The following is a 19,290-nucleotide window of genomic DNA, read 5'->3' as shown; positions in this document are numbered from 1 at the left end:
ATTAAGTGGAAGTGGATCATTGTAAAGGTCTTCATCCTGGTTGTCTCCACCTTGAGGAGGCAGAGGAGGAAGGGGAGGGGTTGGTCTCGCTGTCTCAGAGAAGGCAGAGGGCTAAGAGATGGAGGAGGTGGGAGGAGAGGCAGGAGAGGCAGGCACACTCAGGGTCACTTTTACTGAAAAAAAATCTGAGTATAATTTGAGGCATGCAGTTCAAACCTGTGTTGTTCAAGGGCCAACTGTATTTAGAAATATATATGTGTGTGTGTGTATAGGTGTGTGTGTTTGTATATATGTGTAAATGTGTGTGTGTATATGTATGTGTGTACATATGTATGTGCATGTGTGTATAATACATGTGTATGTGTGTATATATGTGTGTATAATGTGTGTGCATGTGTATGTATGTGTGTGTTTGTGTATGTTTGTGTGTGTATTTGTGTGTATATGTGTATGTGCACATGTGTATGTATGTGTGTGTGTATTCACGTGTGTATGTGTGTGTATATTTATGTGTGTATATGGGTATGTGTATATATTTGTGTGTGTATATTTGTATGTGTTTGTGTGTGTATATGTGTGTGTATATTTGTCTATGTGTGTATATATTTGTGTGTGTATGTGTGTATATTTGTGTGTGTATATGTGTGTATATTTTTGTGTGTATATGTGTGTGTATATTTGTGTGTGTATGTGTGTGCGTATTTGTGTGTGTATGTGTGTGCGTATATGTGTGTGTATATTTGTGTGTGTATGTGTGTGTATATTTGTGTATGTGTGTATATTTGTGTGTGTGTATTTGTGTGTGTGTGTATGTGTGTGTATATGTGTGTGTGTGTGTGTGTGTGTGTGTGTGGTTCCTCTTTGTCCCTGTGCAGTAGTTCATTGGATGGATAGTCCACAATTTGCTTATCTACTCATTATTCATGGTGAGCATTGGGGTTGTTTTCAATTTTGGGGCTGTTACTAGTAAAGCTGCTGTGGAAATTTTCGTCTCTGTGTTTGAGTCTTTGTGTGGACATATGCTTCTTTCTTGAGACAGAGTCTTGCTCTGTTGCCCAGGCTGGAGTGCAGGGGCGTGATCTCGGCTCACTGCAACCTCTGCCTCCAGGGTTCAAGTGATTCTTCTGCCTCAGTCTCTGGGGTAGCTGGGATTTCAGGTGCATGCCATCATGACCAGCTCATTTTCGTATTTTTAGTAGAGACAGGATTTCACCATATTAGTCAGGCTGGTCTTGAACTCCTGGGCTCAAGTGATCCACCCACGTCGGCCTCCCAAAGTGCTGGGCTTACAGACATGAGCCACCACGCCTGGCCTGGACATATGCTTTCATATATTTTTTGGTGGGGGGCAGGGGGTGGTTAATTACCTAGGAATGGGATAGTGTATGCTCTAAATGTTACATTTCAATTTTTTAAAGAAACTGGCCAGGTACAGTTGCTCACACCTGTAATCCCAGCACTTTGGGAGGCTAAAGCGGGTGGATCACCTGAGGTCACGAGTTCGAGACCAGCTTGGCTAACATGGCGAAACCCCATCTCTACTAAAAATACAAAAATTAGCTGGACGTGGTGGTGTATCCCTGTAGTCCCACCTACTTGGGAGGCTGAGGCAGGAGAATTGCTTGAACCCAGAAGGTGGAGGTTGCAGTGAGCCGAGATCACGCCACTGCACTCCAGCCTGGGCAATAGAGTGTGACTCCATCTCAAAAAAAAAAAAAAAAGAAAAGAAAAAAAGAAACTACCAAACTATTTTCCAAAGTAGTTGTACTATTTTCTATTTCCAATAGCAGCGCATGAGAGCCTGCCTTGCTCCATATCCTCACAAGTCTTGGTGTGGTCAGCCTCTCAGACTGCAGCCACTCCAATGGGGTGGAAATGGTATCATCTCATTGTGGTTTCAAGGAGCATTTCCCTTATGTCTGATGATGGGGTCCGTTTTTCATGTCTCTAGTGACTTTCCACATATCTTCTTTGATGAAATGTTGATTCAAATCTTTTGCCCATTTCTGTTGAGATGTTTGTCTTATTATTTAGTGAGTTATAAAAGTACTTTGTATATTCTGGATACAAGTCTTTTACTAGATACATAGATTGTGAATATTTTCTCCCAGTCTGTGGTTTGTCTTTTAAAATATTTTCTCCCAGCTTTTGGGTGTCTTTTGAAGCCCATGCTTGCTTTTAATGTCCACAAAATATCCAAAAGAGGGAGAAATTCAGTGTGGGGATGGTGCTCCAGGCCTAGCTGATTGGGTATTGCTCAGAAATTAGGCTAAAGCAAAGTTGCAATGCTACAAACTGACATCAAGCTGGGCACAGTGGCAGGTGCCTGTAGTCCCAGCTACTTAGGAGGCTCAGTTGGGAGGATCGCTTGGGCTCAGGAGTTGGAGATCAGTCTGGGCAACATAACAATACTCCTAAAAAAAACCCAAACTCTGACATCATAATCCATGTCTGCTGTTAAGGTTTCCACATTTTGGGTGGGCTAGACAGGAAAAACACCCAAAAGGTAAAGGCCAGGCTGGTTCATGCCGGACACCTAACCCCCTGCTACCACATGCTGTTTTCCACACTGGGTGCTGGCCTGTGGGAACCTGCACAAGTCGGGGGCAACATGGTCCCAGGAAGTCTTTGACAGGCTGCCCCCTGCTGGCTGCTGCGGGAACCACATGGCAGATGGCTCCTGGTGTCCCCTGGAAGGTTGGTGGGAACCCTGGGGCGGGGGCCTCTCACTTGCCCTCTCTCTTGGGCGTGGGCAAAGGCTTCCTGTTGGCAGAATAGGGCTGGAACTGTTCTTGCCTTAGGGGTATCAGATTTCCTTCGTTCTTGGAATCTCTGCGGTTTGGGAAGACAAACAGAACTGTTCTGCCCCGGGGGAGGGAGCTGCAAATGCAAAAGAGGCTCCATCACGCGGTGCAGAGCTGGGGGCACCGCTGGCCCACCCATCCCTGTCGAGTCCTCTGACCCGTTTCTTCATTTCTCAGGTGACTGGGGTCCTCCAATGATAGAACGTCTCATCGATGATGAGAACTCCCATGGCCCCCTCTCAAGATCCACTGTGGGCCAAGATGCAGAGCTGGGGTCTTCACTTGGCTTTAGGGCTTCAGAGAGACTCAGGAGGGACATTTTCTAATCGGGATGCCCCCCCCCCGACCCCCAGGATGCTTGTTCTATCAAGAAGCCCCTGGAGGCCGGGCACAGGGACTCACGCTTGTAATCCCACACTTTGGGAGGCCTAGGTGGGAGGAACTCTCAAGGCCAGGAGTTCAAGACCAGCCTGGGCAACATGGTCTCATGCTGTTGCCCAGGCCAGAATGCAGTAATACAATCATAGCTCACTGCAGCCTCAACCTTCTGGGCTCAAGGGATCCCCTCATCTCAGCCTCCTGAGTATCTAGGACGATGGGTGCACACCACCACGCCTGGCTAAGTAAAAATAAAATTTGTAGAGATGAGGTCTCATTATGTTTCCCAGGCTGATCTCGAACTCATGGCCTCAAGCGATCTTTCCGCCTGTGCCTCCCAAAGTGCTGAGATTACAGGCGTGAGCCACTGTGCCCAGCTTAATGTCAGTATTTTCTTTTAGTCAGGTCTTGCTCTGTCACCCAGGCTGGAGTGTGTGGTGCGATCATGCCTCACAGCAGCCTTGACATCCCCAGGCTCAGATGATCCTCCCACCTCAGCCTCCTGAGTAGCCGCGACTACAGGCGCATGCCACCACACCCAGGTAATTTTTTAATTTTTACAGAAACGTAGTTTTGCCATGTTGCCCAGGGTGGTCTCGCACTCCTGAGCACAAGCAATCCACCTGCCTCAGGTTCCCAAAGTGTTGGGATTACAGGCGTGAGCCACCATGCCCTGCCAGCCCAGTATATTTTTTCGGGGCGGGGGGACGGAGTCTCACTCTGTCGCCCAGGCTGGAGTGCAGTGGTGCTATCTCATTGCAAGCTCCGCCTCCTGGGTTCAAGTGATTCTCCTGCCTCAGCCTCCTGAGTAGCTGAGATTACAGGCATGTGCCACCACACCTGGCGAATTTTGTGTTTTTATTAGAGACCTGTGTGTTGCTCCCTGTGGAATGACAGGGGCAGGGTCCTGACCAGGCCCTCTCTCCTCAGTGGCTGGAGGAGCTCACCTGCCCCTACTCCCCAGATAGGCCCAGCCTCAGGGATGGGAGGGCTTTCCGTCCCCAGAGGGGCACTCCCACACCCAACCTCCACAAGGAGCTGATGGCAGGTGGGCCTGGGGCCTCAGCCTTGCAGAACAAACCTGCTGTGATATAAACAAACAGGGACAGACACAGGCAACCCTGTCTGAAGGGTCCCCATTTCCCCAACTCGGGCTTTGGAGAACCCACAAGGACTACCCAGCCCCTCCTGGTATGTGGCGGGACAGGCGCTGTGCCCTGAGCCCTCTCCTTTCACCTTTGGGGTTTAATGCATGTGTGAGGGTTGGAGAAGGAGCCAGTGTTTTGGGGACGCTGCCCCTGTCATTCCACAGGGAGCAACCACAGTGACCTTGGTAAGTATCAAAGGCAAACGGTGCTTCTCCCACGTTACTCTCTCCTCTGAGAAAGGAGACCCGGAGGAGCTTCAGCCACCACTCCCCTGGCCGGGTCCCTGCAGAGGCCTCAGGGCACACCTGGAGTTTTTGTGTTGTGTGCCAAAAGGTAAGGCCAGAAAGGTGAGGATTGATTGTGTGTCGGGACTGTTTCCGTCTCATCTTGGGTGAGTCTTGCATCAAGGGAGATGCCTGGGCTGGGCTGAAGGTGAAGGAGCAGGAGGCCTTTGGGAGTGGAAGAGGCTGAGTGTGGCTCAGGTGAGGAGGCCGAGACTTCCTCCTTGGCTGTCTCTGGGTTTAACTCTGGTCAAGACAGATATCCTTCCTACTGGGGGGCCACTTAGGGGGGCTTTAGTCAATTCATCTCTGAATCCCTGGTACCCAACACCATGCCTGGCACACTTAGGCACTGCAACAAAATGATAAAGGAAGGAACTAACAAATAATTGAAGTGAAAATTTATATTTCACTTGACCTTGCCTTCCCTGATCAGACTATGTTTGCAAACACTTCATTTTCACTTTAAGAACTCATGCATCTTGGCTGGGTGCAGTGGCTCATGCCTGTAATCCCAGCACCTTGGGAGGCTGAAGCAGGCAGATCACCTGAGGTCAGGAGTTCAAGACCAGCCTGGCCAACATGGCGAAACCCTGTCTCTACTAAAAATATAAAAAATTAGCCGGGCATGGTGGTGGGCGCCTGTAATCCCAATAACTCGGGAGGCTGAGACAGGAGAATCACCTGAACCCAGGAGGCAGAGGGTGCAGTGAGCCGAGATTGCACCACTTCACTCCAGCCTGGGTGACAGAGCAAGACTCCATCTAAAAAAAAAAAAAAAAAAAAAAAAGAACTTATGCATCTCATGTTTTAAACATTTTTTTGGTCTTGTAATAGAAGAGATTCATCCATTCAAATGTATTGTGATAGTGATATGTTTCAAAATGCTTTTTCATTGTATTTTATTTTATTTTTTGAGATGGAGTCTTGCTCTGTTGCCAGGCTGGAGTGCAGTGGCGCGATCCCGGCTTACTGTAACCTCAGCCTCCTGGGTTCAAGCGATTCTCTTGCCTCAGCCTCCTGAGTAGCTGGGACCACCGGCATGAGCCACCACACCCAGCTAATTTTTGTACTTTTTAGTATAGACGGGGTTTCACCATATTGGCCAGGCTGGTCTTGAACTCCTGACCTCATTTTCCGCCCGCCTCCGCCTCTCAAAGTGCTGGCATTACAGGCGTGAGCCACTGGGCCCGGCTGTTTTCTGGTTTTTCTTTCCCTCTCTTTGCAATGCTGATCAAGTGTTTTCTTCTCTTTTTCCCAAGTACAATTGGCTCCCCATTCCCATGGGATTCAACCAACCATAGATCAAAAATATTCAGGAAAAAATATAACAATAAAAATCATACAAATAAAAAACAATACAGCAGGACAACTATCTACATAGCATTTACATTGTATTAGGTATTATAAGTAATCTAAAGATGATTTAAGTATATGTAGGTTATATGCAAATACTACACCAATTCATTTATTTATTTATTTTGAGATGAAGTCTCGCTCAGGCTGGAGTGCAGTGACCCAATCTTGACTCACTGCAACCTCCGCCTCCCGGATTCAAGTGATTCTCCCACCTCAGCCTCCTAAGTAGCTGGGATTACAGATGTGCACCACCACGCCAGGCTAATTTTTGTATTTTTAGTAGAGACGGGGTTTCACCATGTTGGCCAGGCTAGTCTTGAACTCCTGACTTCAAGTGAACCACCTGCCTTGGCCTCCCAAAGTGCTGGGATTACAGGCATGAGCCACCACGCCCGGCCTACAGCAATTTATATAAGGGACTTGATTCCATGGATTTGGTATGGGAGTCCTAGAACCAGTGCCTCCTCAGATACTGAGGACTGTAGTTCCATATTATCTTGTTAGTGGTTACCTTCAATTCATTTTATTTGACTTTTAATTAATTAATTAAAAAAAATAGAGACAGGGTCTTGCTGTGTTGCCCAGGCTGGTCTAGAACTCCTGGACTCAAGCTGTCCTCCCGACTTGGCCTCTCAAAGTGCTGGGATCATAGGCGTGAGCCACCACGCCTGGCCCTAACCTTAAATTAAAAAAAAAAAAAATTTTAGCCTGTATTTTCTTTCCTTTTTTTTTGAGATAGGGTCTTGCTCTGTTGCCCAGGCTGGAGTGCAGTGGCCCAATCACAGCTCACTGCAGCCTTGATGCTGGGCTTAAGCTATTCTCTCACCTCAGTCTCCTGATTAGTTGGGACTATAAGCGCATGGCACTACACCCAGCTAATTTTTTTTTTTTTTTGAGACATTCTCGCTCTGTTACCCAGGGTGGAGTACAGTGGTGCGATCTCGGCTAAGTGCAGCCTCCGCCTCCCAGGTTCAAGTGATTCTCCTGCCTCAGCCTCCCGAGTATCTGGGGTAACAGTTGCCTGCTACCACGCCAGGCTTTTTTTTTTTTTTTAATTTTTAGGAGAGACGGGGCTTCACCATGTTGGCCAGGCTGGTCTTGAACTCCTGACCTCAGGTGATCCCCACCCGCCTCGGCCCCCCAAAGTGCTGAGATTACAGGCCTGAGCCACCGCGCCCAGCCCGACCGGCTAATTTTTAAATCTTTTGTACAGATAGGATCTCACTATGTTGCCCAGGCTGGTGTCAAAATCCTGGGCTCAAGTGATCCGACTGCCCTGGCTTCCCAAAGTGCTGGAATTACAGGCATGAGCCATTTAGAAATAAAATGGGCCAGACGTGGTGGCCTGGACCTGTAGTCCCAGCACTTCGGGAGGCTGAGGTGGGAGAATCGCTTTAGCCCGGGAGGTGGACGTTGTAGTGAGCCGTGATCGCGCCACTGCAGCCTGGGCGACAGAGCCAGACCGTCTCAAAAGAAAAAACATAATAAGAAAAAAAAAAAGTTATGATGTGTCTCCAGATTGGGGTGTGCCACTGAGGCCCATTCCGTGCACCCCAACTTTATTTTTTTTTAATTTTTATTTTATTTTATTTTTTTGAGACGGAGTCTCGCTCTGTCGCCCAGGCTGGAGTGCAGTGGCGCAATCTCAGCTCACTGCAAGTTCCGCCTCCCGGGTTCACGGCATTCTCCTACCTCAGCCTCCCCAGTAGCTGGGACCACAGGCGCCCGCCACCACGCCCGGCTAATTTTTTTTTTTTTTTTTTTTTAGTAGAGACGGGGTTTCACCATCCACAGGATGGTCTCGATCTCCTGACCTTGTGATCCGCCCGCCTCAGCCTCCCAAAGTGCTGGGATTACAGGCTGAGCCACCGCGCCCGGTCGCACCCCAACTTTAAAGATGAGGGTCGGTGCAGGTGAGGAACCTGCTCAGGGTCCCCCAGCCCCAGCGCCGGGTCTACCCACGACTGGGAGCGGAGGATGGCGGTGAGTAAAAAAAGAAACCTTCCTCATTCACTGACATTCCAGGGGAGGACGATGGGGACTTCAGCACACCCTGGGATTGCTGCAGGCTGGGGTGTCTCTCAAGAGTTTCGAGTTTAGATTCTCTGGGAGACCAGCCGGCGCGGAGAAGGCTTAAAAGCCCAGCCGATCGCAGACCGTGCGCGGGGCAGGGAAGCGAGGGCCGGGAGTGCCCTCCGGTGGCGAAAGCCAGGAATTACCGCGCACCTATTCTGGACCAGAGTAAAAATCGCCTGGAAAACGTCGAAAATCGTAGACTCTCAAGGGTGAAAGGGGATTTAAAGAGCACTTACTGCAACTCTCCCATCGTATGTCTGGGGACTGTCAGCGTTACAGATCTTGGCCTTCACAGGGACAGTACGGAGAAAGGCAAGCAGCCGCCAAGGCCGGGGTATCCGCCTGCACTTAGCGGGGCTCTCGGAAGCCGGCCTGGGGATGAGCCAGGCGTCCTCGGGCCTGGTGCTGGCGCCTGGCGCGCCCTCTGCTGGATACCGCCGCCTTGTCAGTGACTCGAAATTTGCTCAGAACCGATTTTTTTTTTTTTTTTTTTTGATATGGAGTCTCGCTCTGTCGGCCAGGCTGGAGTGCAGTGGCGCAATCTCGGTTCACTGCAACCTACGCCTCCCGGGTTCAAGCGATTATCCTGCCTCAGCCTCCAGAGTAACTGGGATTACAGGCGCGCATCACCACACCCAGCTCATTTTTGTATTTTTAGCAGAAATGGGGTTTCACCATGTTGGCCAAGCTAGTCTCGAATTCCTGACCTCAAGTGATCCTCCCACCTTGGCCTCCTAAAGTGTTGGGATTACAGGCGTGAGCCACCGCACCCGGCCCCGAACCGAATATCATACCCACAGCATTATTCATTCAGCAATGTTTTTCTGGTACTGAGGAGCCACGTCCTTACGGCGAGAGGAAGCTGGGGGGCCACAGAGCAAACTGTCTGATCACTTGGTTTCTAATCCTTCCCTCCCTCCCTCCCGCCCTCCCTCTCTCTCTCTCTCTTTTTTTTTTTTTTAGACAGAGTCTCGCTCTGTTGCCCAGGCTGGAGTGCCGTAGCGCAATCTTGGCTCACTGCAACCTCCGCCTCCTGGATTCAAGCAATTCTCCTGCCTCAGCCTCCTGAGTAGCTGGGATTACAGACCCATGCCACCACGCCCGGCTAATTTTTGTATTTTTAGTAGAGACGGGGTTTCACCATGTTGGTCAGGTTGGTCTCAAACTCCTGACCTCGTGATCCACCCGCCTCGGCCTCCCAAAGTGCTGGGATTACTGGCGTGAGCCACCACACCCGGCCTCTTTTTTTTTTTTTGACGGAGTCTCCCTCTGTCGCCCAGGCTAGAGTGCAGTGGCATGATCTCGGCTCAGTTGCAACCTCTGCCTCCCAGGTTCAAGAGATTCTCCTGCCTCAGCTTCCCGAGTAGCTGGGATTACAGGTGCGTGCTGCCACGCCTGGCTAATTTTTTTGTATTTTTAGCAGAGACAGGGTTTCACCATATAGGTCAGGCTGGTCTCGCACTCCTGACCTCAGGTGATCCACCCACCTCAGCCTCCCAAAATGCTGGGATTACAGATGTGAGCCACTGCACGCGGCCTGGCCCCTAATTCTTTAACATCCCACTAAGACAGGGGGCTCTGGCATAGCATCTGGGTGTCTGACTCCATCACCTCTGGGGAAGAAAGCAAAGGTGGTGAGAAGACGCTGGAACCGGCCAGCCCTGGAGGCGGGGTCGGCTGGGGCACCTCCTTCCTGGCCTCTGCGCCTACTAGACGCCTAGGCTGGTAAGGTGCTTCCTTATCTGTAAAATGGGACCACAATGATCTGGCTATCAGGGCTGGGAAGGCTTGAATGAGCTTATGTACTCGGAAGAGCCTGCTGGGCCTGAAGGGGAAGGGCACTGTGGGAAGCGTGGTGTCAGTGCCAGGACTTAGGGAGAAAAAGAGGCCTCAGGCTCCTGGCCCCAGGCATGTGTGTTTCCCCATCTTGCTGAGCTGTGGGAAGTGGGAAGCTGGAAGAGAAGGGAAGAGGATGAGCCGTGTTTCAGACCCTGAATGTTGAATGTGGGGTGACAGTGAAGTCTCGTGTCTACTGGGCAGGTAGGGTAGGGAGAGAGACAAGAGCCTGGGTACCACAGAAGACGACCACCTGAGGTCTTGTTGGCATGAGATGGAGGAGCAGAGAGGGGAGGATCTGACCCACGGCCCAGGCAGGAGATCAGGAGACCCACCCTGAAATGAGAGTGAGACGGGTGTTCTCCAGGCCACGGACGATGCAGAACCCGGCAGGGTGGGCTGGAGGCTCCAGGAGAGAGCGGTGGCAAAAGAGTGGTGTCTGCTGCCCCAGAGCGTTCATTTCAGAGGCTGGAGAGGGAAGAAAATCAAGAAGGAAGGAGGTGGCCGCGAGCAGCTGTTTTTAGCTGAGAAAGGAGAAATCAGTGAAGGGTAAGACGAATAAAAGATAGAAGGGGACAGGAAACTGTCTTTTTAAAGGAAAAGATCATTTGGTACCTATGAAGAAGCATCTGATGAAGGTCAACATCCACCCCTGATAGAAACTTTGGGTAAATTAGCAGTAGAATGATTCCTTGAGTGAATATGAAGAAGAATCCTCTCTAGGTAGCTGTAGGAAATCCTAGAAGCACTGAAGTTCAGTCTACAAGGAATAAATCCCAGTGGCACTGCAATCATTTGACATTTTTTTCTGGATATTGTGGCCAACGCAATGACACACAAAAATAAAGTAGTGTAATGACTGGGAAAGGGAGAGGCAACAATTATCATGATTTAAAGCCAAAAAACTCAGAGCCACCAGCCTCTCCACAAAACGAAATAAAACAAAAGTCTCACAAAAGCCAAAGCATTGTCATCCGAGGAGAGCGAGGGGGAAGAAAACTTAGTAGTTTTTCTTCTTCTCTTCCTCCTTCTCCTCCTCCTCTTCCTTCTTTCTTCTTCATTTCTTCTTCTTCCTCTTCTTTCTTCCTCCTCCTCCTTCCTCCTCTTTCCTCCTCCTCTTCTTCTTCCTTCCTCCTTCCTCCTTCCACCTCCTCCTCCTCCTCCTCTTCTTCTTCTTCTTCTTCTTCTTTCTTCTTTTTTTTTTTTTTAATAGAGATGGGGTCTCACTTTGTTGCCCAGGCTGGTCTCAAGCTTCTGGGTTCAAGCAATCCTCCCACCTCAGCCTCCCAAAATGCTGGGATTACAAGGGTGAGCTGCCACACCCAGCCAATTGATTGGTTTTTGGTGGGGAGAAATTCACACACATTTCTTGATAACCCGAGGTCATAGAAGATTTTGTATTGTTGAGAGTGCAGTAGGAAGAAAATATTCCGGGTGCAGCGGCTCACAGCTGTAATTCCAGCACTTTGGGAGGCCGAAGGTGGGAGGAGCTCTTGACCCAGGAGTTCCCAGACCAGCCTGGGCAACAAAGTGAGACCCCATCTCTACAAAAATTTTTTTTTTAAAACCAGCCAGTGGTAGGGCACGGTGGCTCATGCCTGTAATCCCAGCACTTTGGGAGGCCGAGGTGGGTGGACCACAAGGTCAGGAGTTCAAGACCATCCTGGCTAACACGGTGAAACCCTGTCTCTACTAAAAATACGAAAAATTAGCCAGGCGTGGTGGCATGCGCCTGTAGTCCCAGCTACTTGGGAGGCTGAGGCAGGAGAATCACTTGAACCTGGGAGGCGGAGGTTGCAGTGAGCCGAGATCATGCCACTGCACTCTAGCCTGGGGGACAGTGTGAGACTCCATCTCAAAAAATAAACAAACAAACAAACTAGCCAGGTATGGTGGCATGCGCCTGTAGTCAGTCCTAGCTAGCTGGGAGGTTGAGGCAGGAGGATTGCTTCATCCTAGTAAGTTGAGGTTGCAATGAGCCACTGCACTCCAGCCTGGGTGCCAGAGCGAGATCCTGTCTCAAACAAACACAAAAACCAATCAATCAATTCTGCAGCGAACACCAACTGAGTGTCCTCTAATTCGATTACATTCTTCCTTTTTTTTTTTAACATTAAAAATAAAAAATAAAGACGAGGTTTCTCCATGTTAGCCAGGCTGGTCTTGAACTCCTGGCCTCAAGTGATCCACCTGCCTTGGCCTCCTGAAGTGCTGAGATTACAGATGTGAACCATCGCATGAGGCCCTTAATTCAATGAAATTCTGACACTATCTGGAGACAGTTTCAGATCCCACAGGTTGAGGGCTCAGTCCCATAAGACTGTCCCTCGCTTCCGATGCCAATTGCAAACTCATGGTTCTTTTACCTGATTCTGAACATCTGGGTATAAATCAGGGTTCCCACGAACCCCTCCTTAGGTTTGATTAATTTTTAGAGCAGGCTGGGTGCCGGAGCTCATGCCTGTAATCCCAGCATTTTGGGAGGCCGAGGCGGGCGGGTCACCTGAGGTCAGGAGTTCAGCCTGGCCAACATGGTGAAACCCCATCTCTACTAAAAATACAAAAATTGGCCTGGCGTGGTGGCTCACGCCTGTAATCCCAGCACTTGGGAGGCCGAGGCAGGTGGATCACCTGAGGTCAGGAGTTTGAAATCAGCCTGACCAACATGGAGAAACTCTGTCTCTACTAAGAATACAAAATTAGCCAGGCATAGTGGCATATGCCTGTAATCCCAGCCACTTGGGAGGCTGAAGCAGGAGAATCCCTTGAACCGGGAGGCAGAGGTTGCAGTGAGCCAAGATTGCGCCATTGCACTCTAGCCTGGGCGACAAGAGCGAAACTCCATCTCAAATAAATAAATAAATAAAAATACAAAAATTAGCAGGGCACGGTAGCGCATGTCTGTAATCCCAGCTACTCAGGAGGCTGAGGCAGGAGAATTGCTTGAACCCGGGAGGCAGAGGTTGCAGTGAGCCAAGATCGCGCCACTGCACTCCAGCCTAGGTGACAGAGCGAGACTCCGTCTCAAAAAAAAAAAAAAAAAAAAATTTGCTAGAGCAGCTCACATAACTCAAGGAAATCGGTTTGCTGGTTTATTATAAAAGATGTCGCAAAGGATGAAGAGATGCACAGGGCGAGGCACGCAGGAAGAAAGGCGGAACCTCCACGTCCTCTCCAGGTTCACCAGTGCTGATGCTCCATCACTAACTAAAGCCCCTAGTTTACATGAGGCTTCGCTGCTTGCGTTGCACATTCTGTGAGTTTTGAGAAATGGACAATGACATGTACCCACCCTTATAGTCGCATACAGAATAATAGTTTCCCTGCCCTAAAAATCTAGTGCTTTACCTGTTCATCTCTCTCTCCCTCTCCCCAATTTCCAGCAACCACTGGATCATAGTGTCTCCATAGTTTTACCTTTTCCAGAATGTCACCGCTGGAGTCATACAGAATGGGGCCTTTTCAGATTGGCTTTTTTCACGTAGCATTATGCATTTACATTTCCTCCCCGTCCTTTCATAGCTTGATGGCTCATTTCTTTTTAATCACTGAATAATATTCCATTGTATGAATGTATCATAGTTTGTCTAATTTGTAGTTTGTCTAATTTTTGTCTTGTTTTTGAAATAGGAAAAAAGTCCTTCATTTAGAAAGGAAACAAAGTTGGTCAGGAGTGGTGGCTCATGCCTGTAATCCTAGCACTTTGGGAGGCTGAGGTGGGCAGGTCACCTGAGGTCAGGAGTTCGAGACCAGCCTGGCCAACATGGCAAAACACCTTCTCTACTAAAAATTAGCTGGGCGTGGTGGTGCATGCCTGTAATCACAGCTACTCGCGAGGCTGAGGCAGGAGAATCGCTTGAATTGGGAGGCGGAGATTGCATTGAGCCAAGATTACACCACTGCACTCCAGCCTGGGCAACAGAGTGAGACTCCATCTCAAAAAAACAGTTTTGCAGGGAGAGGAGGCATTGAATGCCGGCGCTGGGGCCACCTGGTGAGGTGGGGAAGTGAGTAGAGCAGGACATTCCATGGGAGGGGGCGAGGCGCCAGGCTGCCTGGCGGAGGGGGCTGCAGAAGGATGATGGCCACAGGAGGTGCTTAGCTGGAGCCCTGGGTCCTGGGAGATAGGGCGGGGGTGGGACAGGTGCAGGAGCCGCTGGGATCTGATGTCCCTTCATGTTGACCTGTGTCTTGAGGGATTTCCTGTCTAGCTTGTGGATGGTCAAATCACCCCTTTTGGCCCCATCCTGGCAGCTGCGGTCTGGGAAGCTAGACAGAGCTATCCTTTTATCCATAAGCTGCTCACATTTCCCAGGAGGCCAGGGGCTCAGAGCTGGGATCTTTAGCACCTTCCGGGCCAAACCGGCAGTCTGCCAGGTTGCCACTGGTGCCAGGGCCTAAGTCACCAGCTGCGACAGCCCCTTTGACACCACTGCATTCCCAGGGCTGGGGTAGCTGCCGGAGAGGGGGCTGTTAAGCTCCCCCCAGTCTCGGTTCTGAGACCCTCAGATCTCATGACTGAATAGGGCCTTAAAGGTCATCTGGCCTACCCTTGGGTCTACCACTGGCATCTCAGCAAATCCCCTAACAGGTGACCTTCCGGGCTCTGCTTCTTCACCTGCAGCGCCTGAGCCAGCCACTCCATTTTTAGACAGCTCAAATGGTCCGGGAGCTTTTCTTAAACCTAAAGCCTCATCACTGTAACTTCTACCCAGAGGTGCTAGTTCCACACACAAGGCCATTTTCCATGATTGATCATTTAGATATTTGAAACCATTCCTCTGGCACTGTTCCCTTCTCAGGGCTAGAGGGGTTCAGGGCCTCAGCTGTGCTGTGGGTGGTACTGGTGGGGTGCCTCCGAGACCTCAGATCTTCCGCTGGATCACTGAGCAGAAGCCCCTGGAGAGGTAGCTGACACCCCCTCCCCACTTCTGGAGAATTGGGTGTAGCTTTTCCCACCTGGGTTAGTGCTGGGACCCATGATTTCCCAGGCATGACTTCTCGTCTGCACCATGCTGAGCAGCCCGCCCTTTCCACACTGATGACCCATTTTCCAACAGGGAAGGCAATTTGTCTGCCTGTGTTAATCTCACATCAATTGCCTCTTGTTCTTTTATGCTCTGATCATCAATTAAAAGATACAGTACTGCCCTTGGTGGTTTTTGCAAGCCTCAGCTCATTCTGGACTGGCATCTTAGCAACAGTTGTCCTAGAGAGTCAGCCTAGGATTGGTGTGGTGCCTTTTTTCGAACTTTTTTCCATGATTTGGTTGACCCGTCACCACCTTAGCATGCCCTTGACCTGGGAGGGGACAGTCTGACCATTAGCTGTGGCTCACCAGTGACCCAGAGCTGGAGGCAGTTCTCCCCTTATTTTGGACTCTAGCCACCTGTCGTGTGTGGACCACCCAGAGCCCACCCAAGGTGGGGGGTCGAGAGGGGTTCCCTGATGGGCAAAGTAGGCCATGCCTTCCACTCTCGGGACTGCCCATCTCCTCTGTGGGGTCCCTCTCTTTACCACCTGACACTTTGGGTCCCACCGCTTCTCCTCCTGCTTAGTGTGCACCCTGCCACATATCAGGGAAGTGGGGATCCTATCAGGCCTCATAGGCATGTACTTTTTTATTTTTTATTTTTTTGAGACAGAGTCTTGCTTTGTCACCCAGGCTGGAGTGCAGTGGCGGGATCTCAGCTCACTGCAGCCTCTGCCTCCCAGGTTCAAGTGATTCTCCTGCCTCAGCCTCTCAAGTAGCTGGGAGTACAGATGCAAGCTACTACACCTGACTAATTTTTGTATTTTTAGTAGAGACGGGGTCTCACCATGTTGGCCAGGCTGGTTTTGAACTCCTGACCTCAGGTGATCCACCCGCTTCGGCCTCCCAAAGTGCTGGGATTACAGGCATGAGCCACCGTGCCTGGCCAGGCATGTACTTTTCTGACTTGAGCTCATGGAAATGTTTCCCTGTGCCAAGTGGGGCTCTCATTCATTTGCTGTCAGGCTGAGCTTGCCTAGATGGTAGGGGCTAAAGCACCTGCAGGCTCTCACCTACCTGCAGGCTCTATGCTGACTCAGGACATGCGGAGGGGTAGATGGAGCCTGGGGGGTGGAGCAAAAGGCAGACTCTCCCTGAATAAGAGGCCTGTCAGCCAACAATGCCCTGGTGCCGGTACTAATGGAGCCAGTTCGGAGAGCAGGAACCCAGGCCCTGCTTTAGAGCAAGAGCCAAGCATTGAAATCAAGCATACCACTGTGTAAGTTTTTGTACTTACTAATTAATTTATTATTTTATTTTATTTCTTTGAGGCGGAGTCTCGCTGTCGCCCAGGCTGGAGTGCAGTGGCGCGATCTCAGCTCACTGCAACCTCTGCCTCCTGGGTTCACGCGATTCTCCTGCCTCAGCCTCCCTAGTAGCTGGGACTACAGGCACGTGCCACCATGCCTGGCTAATTTTTTGTGTTTTTAGTAGAGACAGCGTTTCACCAGGTTAGTCAGGATGGTCTCGATCTTCTGACCTCGTGATCCACCCACCTTGGCCTCCCAAAGTGCTGGGATTACAGGCGTGTACCACCGTGCCTGGCTGTACTTTAATTTAATGTAATTCACTTATTTGTTTAGAGATGGGGTCTTGATCTGTTGCCCAGGCTGGAGTGCAGGGGCTTGATCATAGCTCACTGCAGCCTCAAATTCCTGGGCTCAAACAATCTTCCCACCTCAGCCTCCTGAGTAGCTGGGACTACAGCCACACGCCACTATGCCTGGCTAATTTTAATAAAATTTCTAAGAGATGGGGTCTTGCTATGTTGCCCAGGGTGGTCTCAAACTCCTGGGCTCAAGTGATCCTCCTGTCTCGGCCTCCAGAGGAGTTGGGATTACAGGCAGGAGCCAAGGGGTCCAACTTGAACTTTTATTTTAAAATAATTTTAGACTTACACAAGAGTTGCTAAGATAGTACATAGAGTTCCAAAGTACCCTTCACCCTGCTTCCCCTAATGTTACCACTTTACCTAAATATGGCACATTGATCAAAACTAAGAAATTAGCATTGGTACACTACAGCTAACTAAACTTCAGACTTTATTCCGATTTCCCTGGTGGACCTTCTTCTGTTCCAGAATCCTATCCAAGATTCCAGATCATAGTCATCAGGTCTCCTCACTCATCTGTGACAGCTTCTAGGTCTTTGCTTGTCTTTTATGACATTCATACTTTTGAATAGTGCTGGTCAGGTATTTTGGCATTTTGTAGAATGTCCCTTGGTGTGGGTATGTCTGACATTGTCTCATGAGTAGACTAAGGTTATGGATTCGGGGGAAGAAGACTTCACAGGTGACTGCCTCTCTCAGCACATTCTCCCGAGGCATGCCGTGCCAGCGTGCCTCACTGATGCTGTTGACTCTGACCACTTGGCGAAGGTGGTGTCTGCCAGTTTCCTCCACTATTAAATTACTGCTTTTCCCTTTCTGCTCTCATTCATTAGAAGCAAGTCACCAATCCAGCAGCACATATTTTTTTTTATTATTGTACTTTAAGTTCTAGGGTACATGTGCACAACGTGCAGTTTTGTTACATATATATACATGTGCCATGTTGGTGTGCTGCACCCATTAACTCGTCATTTACATTAGGTATATCTCCTAATGGTATCCCTCCCCTCTCCCCTCACCCCACGACAGGCCCTGGTGTGTGATGTTCCCCTTCCTGTGTCCAAGTGTTCTCATTGTTCAATTCCCACCTATGAGTGAGAACATGCGGTGTTTGGTTTTCTGTCCTTGTGATAGTTTGCTGAGAATGATGGTTTCCAGCTTCATCCATGTCCCTACAAAGGACATGAACTCATCCTTTTTTATGGCTCCAGCAGCACATATTTAAGGGGAGGGGAATTAAGCTCCCTCCCCTGGAATGAGGAATATCAAATATTTGTAAACATACATTCAAACCATCACCGTAATTAGAAATATTTTCAGGGGAGATACTCGGAGGCTATGGGAAATATCCTGTTTCTCCTTGAAGTCTTACTCACTATTTTTAGCATTCATTTGCAGATCTTGCCTGTAACATTTATTAATAAGGTGTTCTGGCTGGGCACAGTGGCTCAGGCCTGTGATCCCAGCACTTTGGAAGGCCAAAGCGGCTGGATCACCTGAGACTGGGAATTCGAGACCAGCCTGGCCAACATGGTGAAACCTGGTCTTTACTAAAAAACACACACAAATTAGCCAGGCATGGTGGTGTGCACCTGTAATCCCAGCTATTTGGGAGGCTGAGGCAGGAGAATCGCTTGAGTCTGGGAGGCGAAAGTTGCAGTGAGCCGAGATTGTGCCACTGCACTCCAGCCTGGGCAACAGAGTGAGACTCCCTCTCAAAAATAAACAAACAAACAAATAAATAAATAAATAAATAAGGTGTTCTGAGCCAGGTGTGGTGGCATGCACCTAGTCCCAGCTACTCAGGAGGCTGAGGCTGGAGGATCCCATTAAACCAAGAATCTGAGGCTATAGTGTGCTATAATCACGCCTGGAATAGCCACTGCACTCCAGCCTGGGCAACATAGTGAGACCCCTGTCTCTTAAAAAAAAAAAAGTCCATACTTTATTCAGATTTCCTTAGTTATTACCTGATGTCCTTTTTCTGCTCCAGGGTCCCATCCAGATACCACATGACACCCGGTTGTCCTGTCTTCGGAGGCTCCTCCTGGCTGGGACAGCTTCTCAGACTTTCCTTGCTGCGATGGCTGCTCAAGCTTTGAGGAGTACAGTCAGTGTTCTATAGAACGTCTCTCTCGCTACTGAAATTCGTCTAATGTTTTTCTCATGATTAGACTGGGGTTGGGCATGTTTAGAAAGAAGACCACAGAAGTAAAGTGCCTCCCTCATCACACCGTGTCAAGGGTACACACCACCACGTGACTTCTCCCTGTCGCTGCTGACCTGGCCACCTGGCTGAGGCAGGATTGCTCAGCTTCCTCCATTCTCAGCTTTACACTTGTGATCTCCTTTCCACGCTGCACTCGCTGGAAGGGAGTCACTGTATGCAGCCAACACTGAAGGAATGAAGTTATTCCACACAGGATTTAGAATGCTCCACAGACGATTTTTCTGCTCTTCCTATTTATTTTACATCAGTACGCATTCAAAGACACTTATTTTATCCTTTGGGCTATAATCCAATACCACTTTTTACTTTGTTGCTCAATTGTTTCAGCTTTGGCCATTTGGCACTTTCAGGTGGCTTCTGCGTCCCTTTGACATGTCCCATCAATGTGGTTTCTTTGCTTGTTTTTGTTTTTAGCACTTTTTTTGGGCGGGGGGGCGGGACAGAGTCTCACTCTGTGGCCCAGGCTGGAGTGCAGAGGCGCAATCTCGGTCACTGTAACCTCGCTGCCTCCCAGGTTCAAGCGATTCTTCTGTC

General features: G+C 49.5%; 1 protein-coding gene and 1 long non-coding RNA gene across 3 annotated transcripts in view, besides 3 other annotated features; one reads left to right on the top strand and one right to left on the bottom strand.

The window, feature by feature from the left end:
* Positions 1-8,399, bottom strand: part of EFHD1 (EF-hand domain family member D1) — a 76,720-nt gene extending 68,321 nt beyond the window's left edge. Inside the window, exon 1 of the mRNA NM_001243252.2 lies at positions 8,283-8,399. Coding sequence (NP_001230181.1) covers positions 8,283-8,296 — 14 coding nt within the window. The 5' untranslated portion in view covers positions 8,297-8,399. The remainder of the gene's footprint in view (positions 1-8,282) is intronic.
* The window catches only part of LOC105373929 (uncharacterized), a 30,817-nt gene continuing 14,011 nt past the window's right edge, over positions 2,485-19,290 (top strand). Inside the window, exons 1-3 of one of the 2 annotated variants that reach the window (NR_187951.1) lie at positions 2,485-2,697; positions 3,657-3,724; positions 18,520-19,003. This is a non-coding gene — a long non-coding RNA (uncharacterized LOC105373929). Of the gene's footprint in view, positions 2,698-3,587; positions 3,725-7,738; positions 7,884-18,519; positions 19,004-19,290 lie in introns of both variants that reach the window. The other variant, NR_187950.1, reaches the window with a different exon arrangement.
* Positions 8,371-8,540: an enhancer, noted in NCBI's record as "active region_17325". NCBI's record gives its function as "activates an Ori minimal core promoter by ATAC-STARR-seq in GM12878 lymphoblastoid cells {active_cell/tissue: GM12878}" and the evidence as "EXISTENCE:reporter gene assay evidence [ECO:0000049][PMID:35858748]".
* Positions 8,581-8,630: an enhancer, noted in NCBI's record as "active region_17324". NCBI's record gives its function as "activates an Ori minimal core promoter by ATAC-STARR-seq in GM12878 lymphoblastoid cells {active_cell/tissue: GM12878}" and the evidence as "EXISTENCE:reporter gene assay evidence [ECO:0000049][PMID:35858748]".
* Positions 13,538-14,037: an enhancer, noted in NCBI's record as "H3K4me1 hESC enhancer chr2:233465129-233465628 (GRCh37/hg19 assembly coordinates)". NCBI's record gives its function as "activates a minimal SCP1, AML or CMV promoter by ChIP-STARR-seq in primed H9 embryonic stem cells {active_cell/tissue: H9 hESC(primed)}" and the evidence as "EXISTENCE:reporter gene assay evidence [ECO:0000049][PMID:30033119]".

Source organism: Homo sapiens, chromosome 2 (genome assembly GCF_000001405.40).
Source record: "Homo sapiens chromosome 2, GRCh38.p14 Primary Assembly".
Lineage (NCBI taxonomy): Eukaryota > Metazoa > Chordata > Mammalia > Primates > Hominidae > Homo > Homo sapiens.
This window is presented reverse-complemented; position numbering and strand designations above follow the sequence as displayed.